This window comes from Homo sapiens, chromosome 19 (genome assembly GCF_000001405.40).
Source record: "Homo sapiens chromosome 19, GRCh38.p14 Primary Assembly".
Lineage (NCBI taxonomy): Eukaryota > Metazoa > Chordata > Mammalia > Primates > Hominidae > Homo > Homo sapiens.
In genome coordinates, this window is record NC_000019.10 from 51,876,107 (window position 1) to 51,885,688 (window position 9,582).

Consider the following 9,582-nt stretch of genomic DNA (forward strand, 5'->3'; position numbering starts at 1 on the left):
TACTCGTCCAGGGTGCTGGCAAAATATAGAATAAGAAGGCAGGTGAGATTACAGAAAAGGAGATATCTGCATGAAGCTATTTGTCAGAAGACACAGCTGAAATCTTTAGTATATGTGAGTATACTACATGATGGTAGAAACAACTGGGAGAAAGGAGGATTCTGGTTTCACATCCTGGAAGAAGGAAATATTCGGAGAGCTGTCCTGGTGGCTGGCGACACGCAGCGGGTTAGAGTGCAGATGAGACGTTAGTAGCAGACATGCTACTTTGCGAGTCTCCAGCAGGGGCCAGAGAGCTCAGGCCCTGAGAGTGAATTAAACTTCTACCAGGAGAATCAGCAGAAGATAAAAAAAAAAAACAGAAGCTGGAAAGGCGGGGAGCAGTGGGTGAGTAAGTCGACAGAGATGCCCCAAGAGACATGGTGTGGAGGCATTGACGTGAGCTAAGGTGAGGTGATTTTCAGTGAAGGAAATCAGGCCTTTCCAGAGGGGCCGGGATACACTTTTAAGCGACAGAAGTGCTAAAAGTAATGCAATCCAGCCAGGCGCAGTGGCTCATGCCTGAAATCCCAGCACTTTGGGAGGCCAAGGTGGGTGGTTCATGAGGTCAGGAGTTTGAGACCAGCCTGGCCAATGTAGTGAAAACTCGTCTCTACAAAAAATACAAAAAAATTAGCCGGGCCTGGTGGCCGGCACCTGTAATCCCAGCTACTCGGGAGGCTGAGGCAGGAGAATCACTTAAACCTGGGAGGTGGAGGTTGCAGTGAGCCAAGATCACATCACTGCACTCCAGCCCAGCCACAGTGCGAGACTCCGTCTCAAAAAAAAAAAAAAAAAGGCAACATAATCCAGATGGGTTACGAGGGGAATTTCAAAGCAAGTAAGGAAGGGGCAAAAGTCAGGAGCAGGCTGGGAAGAATGGAACCAGGTAAGAATTCAAGGTCTTCGATGACATGGACTGAAATCAGATCCAGAAAATAGAAGAAAGGAAGACATTATCCTTTGAGAGCCGGCTCTATTAGGGATGGACACAGATGCAGAAAGGCTGATTAGGTTTCTGGGCCACCAACTACTGTGAAGTCCTCTAAAGAACACTTTAAAAGCATCAACCCTTCTCCGACCAGCTGGGATTTGCATGCCATTTCTCCCCATTTTCTTAGTTTTCACTCACTTACCTGGACAGATTTGACTGTGGGCTGCTCCTTCTGCTATCCCTGGGGGTTCTCCTTGCTCCAACTTGAAGAGCGAATCTGGCTTGGTGCCTCGATACCCTGTAAATGGGAGATCACTGAACACTTGGCACGTGTGCTTGGGGAATGGATGAAGATGGAGAGGGTTATGTCTCAGGAACCACAGCATTTGCACTTTGATAAAGCAAAACTCTTTCACTCAGGAAAAGAGCACAACCACTTCGTGCCAGGGAGGAAAATAACAGTCTGCGTGACACACCCATACCCATTAGGATGGCTACTATCAAAAAAACAAACAGACAAACAAAAACAGAAAATAACAATTGTTGGCAAAGATGTGGAGAAACTGGGACCCTGTGTACTCTTGGTGGGAATGTAAAATGGTACTGACATTGTGGAAAACTGTTCCTCAAAAAATTAACAATGGAATGACCATATCACCCAGCAATTCCACTTCTGGGTATATACCCCAAAGAATGGAAAGCAGGGTCTCAAAGAGATTATTTGTACACCCATATTCATAGCAACATGATTCACAAGCGCTAAAACATGGAAGCAACCCAGTGTTCCTTAACAGATAAGTGGATAAGCAAAAGGTGGTATATATATATACAAAAGAATATTATTCAGCCTTAAAAAGGAAACTCTGGCACATGCTACAACATGGATAAACCTTGAGAACATCATAATAAGTGAAATAAGCCAGACACAAAAAGACAGACACTATATAATTCCACTTATACGAGGTACTTAGAGAAGTCAAAATCCTAAAGACAGAAAGTGAATGGTGGTCACCAGGAGCTGGGGAGAAGTGGGGGAATGAGTAGTTGTTGTTTTGTGGGTACAGAGTTTCAGTTTTAGAAGACAGAAGGTAGTGTTGGTGGCTGCATAACACTATGTGCGCGAATGCATTTAACCCACTGAACTGCACGCTTATGGTTAAGACGGTAAATTTTATGTTATATATTTTACCACCACAACAAAAAATCTATAACATATAATACTTTAGTCTAAACCATTAAATATTTATGGGACCGTACAGTGGTCACCAAATAAGAAAGAAAAGGTAAGTGACGGCAATGCTGTCCTTACCTATTGATACTAGGTTGATGTAGTTCTCCAACATTACTTCCTTGTACAAGACCTTCTGAGACTGGTCCAAAAACTGCCACTCCTCCCTGGTGAAGCCCACAGCCACATCTTCGAATGACAATGACCCCTATAATAACAATTCCAATGCAATCTGAGGTGGATAACAATAGATGATGCGGAGAAGAGGGACGGGGACATGTCTTGATCCTTTTCTCCATGACAACGTATGCACACCATGGCTATTTCACATACCAAAGGACCATGGAATTCCACCAATTCTGCCTACCCTAAAAGCACGAAGGCAGTACTAGCATAGATATGAAACAACATGTAATAAGACTGTTCATTATTCCTTTGTTTCTCATAATGAAAAACTTACCAATAATCTAAATGTCTATCAAAAGCAGACAGGGTTAAATTACAGCACCTCCATGCTATAATATACTGCAAAAATGTTAAAATCAATGAGGTAGATGTATACATACCCACATGATTATCAATGATCTCCAAGGCAGTCTCTTAAATGCAAAAAATTAAGCTCCCAAATAATATATGATCTAAGACATATTTTAAAAATGTAATAATACGGCTGGGCGTGGTGGCTCACACCTGTAATCTCAGTACTTTGGGAGGCCGAGGTGGGCAGATCACAAAGTCGGGAGATTAAGACTATCCTGGCTAACACAGTGAAACCCCATCTCCACTAAAAATACAAAAAATTAGCTGGGCATGGTGGTGGGCACCTGTAGTCCCAGCGACTTGGGAGGCTAAGGCAGGAGAATGGCATGAACCCGGGAGGCAGAGCTTGCAGGGAGCCAAGATTGCGCCACTGCACTGCAGCCTGGGCGACAGAGCAAGACTCCGTCTCAAGAGGAAAAAAAAAAAAAAAGTAATAATATGGCTGGGCATGGTGGCTCACGCCTGTAATCCCAGCACTTTGGGAGGCTGAGGCAGGGGGCTCATGAGGTCAGGAGTTCGAGACCAGCCTGGCCAACATGGTGAAACCCCCATCTCTACTAAAAATACAAAAATTAGCAGGGTGTGGTGGCACGCACCTGTAATCCCAGTTACTCAGGAGGCTGAGGCAGGAGAATTGCTTGAGCCCAGGAGGCAGAGGTTGCAGTGAGCCAAGATTGCGCCACTGCACTCCAGCTCTGGGCGACACAGCAAGACTCCAACTTGGGGGGAGAAAAAAAGTAATAATATTTATAATTACATATGTATAAGTATACACAAGTATGTATACATAAATGTACATAAATATGAATATATTCTACCAGATGTCAATCACAGGGAGGAACTAGATAGAGACCCAAACTATGAACACTTATTTAGTATCCTTTGGGTTGAAGTTTGGGCAGAAAAAGGGTGAAAGGAGATACTGTCTTTTGATACAAATGCTTCTGTTTGCTTGAATCTCTTGCGTGCAAATGTAGCCATGTATCATTTCAGTAATTAAACATAGAAAAAGCAAAACAAGCCGAACTGGTGCTTTGTTTTTTGAACCTGGAGTTAAGAAGGTAAGAAAGAAGCATTGTCAGTATCTGCATTCCAAGCTGTTACCAAAGAATGGAGCTGTTAATTGTCTCCTGCTGTCTCAATAACAAAAATCTGGATGAGAGAATTCTTCTTCAGGGAGGATCATTCAAAGGTCAAGCAGCCCATTCATTCTACTGGATACTCCAGGCTTTATCACTGGGCAAAGTCAGATGACCAGAAGCCTCTATTTTCAAGGCACGCTATTTTCGAAGAATTTTGTCCAATCCAGTTTTCCTTTGGCATTACTCCTTAGCTTACCCCACTAAACAACAGGAAAAAGCCATAGAAAACATCCCATGCCTTTATTACAAGGCTGACTTTGAGGATACCGTCAACCACAAAAGCTCTCTGAAGGAAAGAAGTTTCTCAAGCTCTCACAGCAATGACAAATTTACCTCCCCTGAAGAACTGCCTTGCTCTCTCCTCACAGACATTACAATCGTGGCATTTTTCATGTGTTTCCTGTTATTTCAGCTGCCAAAAAAAAGGAGACACAGTTTAAAGCAGAGAAAACCCACAGGGTCTTAACAGTCACTTAGCTATGTTCCGACATTAAGAACTTTCACAAACCCCCTGATCCATATATCTTGTTTCTTAATTTGCCAGGATTTTAAGATTCCAACTTAAACTTATTTTCCCACAGATCCTGATTTTTATCAGCATACACTATCTCATTTAACCAGACTGTCTTTTACAAGCTTCCACAGACCCATTGGGAAACAAACGACAAAATAGGTAAAACAAACCTCACCTGGGCCTTGCCCATTTCGTTCAACTCTTAGGGGCTAGCAACTCTAGTATGTTCTCTCTCTTCTGTCTATTCTGGGCCTTCCCAGAAGTGGTGGTCAGGTATCATCTCAGGTCAAGCTACCACTGGAAATGATGATCTTCCCCAGCCTGGAAGCTCCTTCTTCCATTACTGAAAATGTCTTGTTCCTATAGGCCAGAACCTGTGGATTCAAGACCAAATTCAATGATAAGAAGACATGCTCCTAGGATCACAAGTCTCCAATTGCCATCTGGACTCACATTAACATCAGGTTCCAATATTTCATCTGTCTCCTTAACACCCTGGAAGCCATTACATCATGGGGCAGTGATCCAGAGGAAGATATGGAATGTGCAAGAGGAATGCCTTTTTTTTTGGTTATGTCAGAAATAGAGTGGATGTGAAACAGGAGAAAGTAAACAAAAACCACCTATGGTCTTGTCCACTGCCAAGTTCTCACATATATCAGTTTTAGGTAAGACAATGAAGGAAGTGGTAAAGCCAGACATGGTGGCATGTGCCCTAGAGTTCCAGCTATTGTAGAGGCTGAGATGGGTGGATCTCACCTGAGCTCCAGAGTTCAAGACCAGCCTGGACACATGGCAAGACTCTGTCTCTAAGAATAAAAACATAAAAGAAGTGGTGGCTCAAGAAACTGACTTAAAATCACCACCGGCAGCCACATGCTCCTAAATTTTTGGTTTATTGCACTGTCTTACTAATCATACAAACCATAAGCACTGTCTTACTAAACCCTCGATACTACTTTATAAGGTACTCATTATTATTTCCATCCTAAACATGAGTAAGCTGAGGCTTGCTGAGACAACGTGTGTTGTGCAGGTTAACATTCTTCCTCATTAGTAGCATGGGAACTTGAATCTACATCTGGGGTCTCTCCCTTGTGATACTTCCCTCCTACAACAGCCTTACAGTGCAAATTTGTTCTCTTTCCTACCCACTTTTAGAACTTTACTTCCCAGCACTTTACACTGCGGGGTGGCCACATAGTCACAGCTACACAAACAAGGGCCTGTGATCTCCTAATGCAATATTCAGTGTGGATGCTCAGCCTGCTCCTTCCACACAGACAGGAAAGCAAAGGCGGTCCCATCTTTGCCCCAGAAGCAGCAGTTCAGAGATCAGTCTCCCCAAGAACCACTCTAGAAACTCACACTCTGAGAACACCCACACTGTGAGAACAACTTGAATTTTGCTGTCATCCCAGCAAGTCATTCTCAAGACTCTCTAGCAAGCCTGTATCCTTTACACCCAGAGAGCTGATCTCCAAGCCATTTTCTGACCCACTGGTAAACGCACTGGTCAAGATGCAAACCTCCTCTACCTTCAATCCTGAGACCGCTTCATCCCAGCCCCAGCCCTTCAGTCTAGCCTCCCTACAGGACCAGTCCAAAAACAGTGGTACCCAACCCAAATGCAGAAATCCATATGGATAGCTAAGAGGTAGAAAAGGCCATTACGCATGAATGGGTTGGAGCTGAGATCTCCAGGGTTGAAAAATCCAGGATCCAACCATTCCCAGAAGCTCATGGCAGGCTTTCCCTCATACATAATACATCAGAATTGCACCAAATACTCACGCGGAGAACATGGCAATGTAACCGAGAAGGGCAATGATACCACCCTGACTGGTAAGGATAATCTGGATTTCCTACTGAACTGAGGTTCAGGTCAAATGTCCAGAGGACACTACCTAAATTAAAGAGGAATTTTCTTAAGAAAGGGGGCTTGGTTGTCAGATTGGCAGCCAACAGTATCCAATAAAAAAAAAAAAAAAACTAGGGTCTGCTGTGTTGGCTCAGGCCTGTAATTGCAGCAATTCTGGAGGTGAAGGCAGGAGAATTCCTTGAGGCCAGGAGTTCAAAACCAGCCTGGGCAACATACCAAGACCTTGTCTCTACAAAAAAAAATTAAAAATTTGCCAGGCATGGTGGTGCATGCATGTAGTCCCAGGTACTTAGGACGGTGAGGCAGGAGGATCGCTTGAGCCCAGGAGTTCCAGGCTGAATTGAGTTTATGACCGCATCACTGCACCCCAACCTGGGCAACACAGCAAGATCCTGTCTCAAAAAAAACAAAAGGCAAAAAAAAGGCTTCCACTTCAAATAAAAGTTAGGATGCTTCCAAACCATTACAAGCCCTCAGCCTTATCTGCTTTTGGGAGGAATGAAGCAGGGAGGAAGGAAACAGGTGATTTCTCCCATATGATGTCCTACCTTTGGATATGGCTGACTGCTGTATCAGGGTATCATTTTGTGTGGGCTTTTTAAAAAAAATTTTTTTTTTTTTTTTTTTGAGAAGGAGTCTCAATCTGTCGCCAGGCTAGAGTGCAGTAGCGCGATCTCAGCTCACTGCAACCTCCACCTCCCGGGTTCAAGCAATTCTCTGCCTCAGCCTCCTGAGTAGTTGGGATTACAGGTGCCCACCACCACGCCCGGCTAATTTTTGTATTTGTAGTAAAGACGAGGCTTCACCATCTTTGCCAGGCTGGTCTTGAACTCCTGACCTTGTGATCCACCTGCCTCAGCCTCCCAAAGTGCTGGGATTACAGGTGTGAGCTACTGTGCCTGGCCAAATTTTTTTTTTTTATAGAGACAAGGTCTCGCTATGTTGGCCAGGTTGGTCTTGAACTCTTGGCCTCAAGCAATCCTCCCACCTCAGCCTCCCAAAGTGCTAGGATTACAGGCATGAGCGACTGCTCCCAGCCTCATGGTATAGTTTAACTTGTTGTTCTCTACCTACCCAACTCCCAGTTTTTCCTTTTAATTAAGTGAGTAGTTCAACTTAGAGGTTTGATTAGTCCCATGTTCAATTTTTTTAGGTAAGAATCCTTCATGGATGGTGCTGTGTACTTCCTACTGCAACATATGAAGAGGCATGAGGGCAAAAAAAACAAAGAAAAAAAAAGGGGGAGCTGTTATAGAATTAAAGAGATCTAAGAGATACAACAAGCAAATCGAATGCACCCACATCATTTGGATCATGATTCAAACAATCCAATGTTAAAAGACAATGATGAGATGATCAGAAAAAAACTGAATGTGGACTAACTATTCAATGAACTAAAGAAATAGGCTGGGCACAGTGGCTCACACCTGTAACCCCAGTACTTTGGGAGGCCGACATGGGCAGATCACTTGAGGTCAAGAGTTCAAGACCAGCCTGGCCAACAGGAAGAAACCCCATCTCTACAAAAAAATACAAAAATTAGCCTGGTGTGGTGGCAGATGCCTGTAAGCCCAGCTACTCGGGAGGCTGAGGCAGGAGAACTGCTTCAACCTGGGAAGTGGGAATTGCAGTGAGCCAAGATAACGCCACTGCAGTCCGGCCTCGGTGACAGAGTGAGAGTCCACTCACCCAAAAAGATAAGGAAAGAAATTATTATTAACTTGGATACACTGAAAATGGTCTAGGATGGGTGAAGTGGCTCACACCCGTAATCCTAGCACTTTGGGAAGCCGAGGCAGAAGGACTGCTTGAGCCCAGGAGTTCAAGACCAGCCTGGGCAACATAGCAAGATCCTGTCTGTAAAAGAAAAAACAAAAAGGAAATGGTCTAGTGGTTATAAATTTTTTTAATGACCTTACTGGTTAGAGATTCATACTGGGATACGTACAAGTTTCAAGGCATGAAGCCTTGGATTTGCTATGAAAGTCTCCAGACTAAAACAAAAGTGGAGGCACAGATAAATATGACTGATATGACAGATGAATATGAATTGATAACCATTGAAGCTAAGTTATGGGTAAATATTATACTCAATTTCCATGAAAAAAAGTTAGAGTCATCAGAGCCTGATGAGTTCTATCTAATCTTTACAGTACAGAGATGACTCCAATATTATGTAACATTCATCAATCACAGAAAAAGTGAAGCCTCTCTAACAATTATATAAAACCAGCATTTCCAAACACAAATCAATAGAATAAAAAAAAAAAGAATTATAGAGATAGGTGCTTTTCCATTGATTTTCATCCTTCCTTCTTTTCTAATACTTGCATTCAAGGTTATAAATTTCCTCCACTGACTGCTTAGGTTAAATTCAACAAGGGTTTACATGTAGAATTCTTATTAAAATGCAATTGAAAATATTTCCACTGTGATTTTTTGAACTCAGATTATTTAGAAGCGTATGGCATAATTAACAATCATTCTGACAAGAAAACAGCATGTTCTGAATTGATAGTTCCAAAAAGTCACATGACTATTCTATGGTGAATAAATCATTTTGATATTGATTTATAGCTTAATTCCACTATAGTTAGAGAAAATATTCTATATGGTTTTAATCATTTGAAATGTATTTAGACTTGCCTGATGGCCAACCATACGGTGACTTTTTATAAATGTCCTATGTGCATCTGAGGAAAATTATTGAGTGCAGTGTTTTATATTGGTCAAGTTTGTTAATTAGGTATGTCATTCTAACCTTTCAGGGGTTGGGACTATTGTGGGTTAGCTGAATGTTTTTGTAAATAATGTTTTATCAGAACACAGCCACACCCATTTGTTTACACATTCTGTACAGCTACTTTCATTCTATAATTGCAGAACCTAGTAGATGCAGACAAGACCATTTAGCCGGCAGAGACTAAAATATTTGTCATCTGTCTGCACCTTTACAGAAAGTTTGCCAGCAATGGTTAATCTATACCCTTTTAGCTTTTTGTCTGCCTGTTCTCTCAGTTACTGAGAGAAGTATGTTAAGAATTTCCCATTATGATTGGGCATTTGCGGTTTCTCCTTGTGTCTAGCATACTCCATTCCTCTATACTTAACACACTAAGTATATGCTCTATTGACTTTTTTTTGAGATGGAGTTTCATTCTTGTTGCCTAGGCTGGAGTGCAATGGCATGATCCCAGCTCACTGCAACTTCTGTCTCCTGGGTTCAAGTGATTCTCCTGTCTCATCCTCCTGAGTAGCTGGGATTACAGACACCCGCTACCACGCCCTGCTAATTTTTGTATT

At 42.6% G+C, this 9,582-nt stretch overlaps 1 protein-coding gene across 16 annotated transcripts in view, besides 1 other annotated feature; it reads right to left on the reverse strand.

Annotated features, from left to right (window-relative positions):
• Positions 1–9,582, reverse strand: part of ZNF577 (zinc finger protein 577) — an 83,510-nt gene that overhangs the window by 71,665 nt on the left and 2,263 nt on the right. For 11 of the 16 annotated variants that reach the window (NR_163433.1, NM_001370457.1, NM_001370452.1 and 8 more), the window contains 4 exons: positions 4,573–4,771; positions 4,217–4,295; positions 2,283–2,409; positions 1,176–1,271 (listed from right to left, as the gene is read on the reverse strand). Coding sequence is in view for 12 of the 16 variants with exons in the window: in NM_001370457.1 (NP_001357386.1) it covers positions 1,176–1,271; positions 2,283–2,409; positions 4,217–4,276 (283 nt within the window). In the remaining 4 variants the exon portion in view is untranslated. Of the gene's footprint in view, positions 1–1,175; positions 1,272–2,282; positions 2,410–4,216; positions 4,296–4,572; positions 4,772–4,850; positions 6,656–9,582 lie in introns of those variants that run through there. The other 5 variants (XR_007067021.1, XR_007067020.1, XR_007067019.1 and 2 more) reach the window with 1 other exon arrangement.
• Positions 3,598–4,118: an enhancer, noted in NCBI's record as "NANOG hESC enhancer chr19:52382957-52383477 (GRCh37/hg19 assembly coordinates)". NCBI's record gives its function as "activates a minimal SCP1, AML or CMV promoter by ChIP-STARR-seq in naive H9 embryonic stem cells {active_cell/tissue: H9 hESC(naive)}" and the evidence as "EXISTENCE:reporter gene assay evidence [ECO:0000049][PMID:30033119]".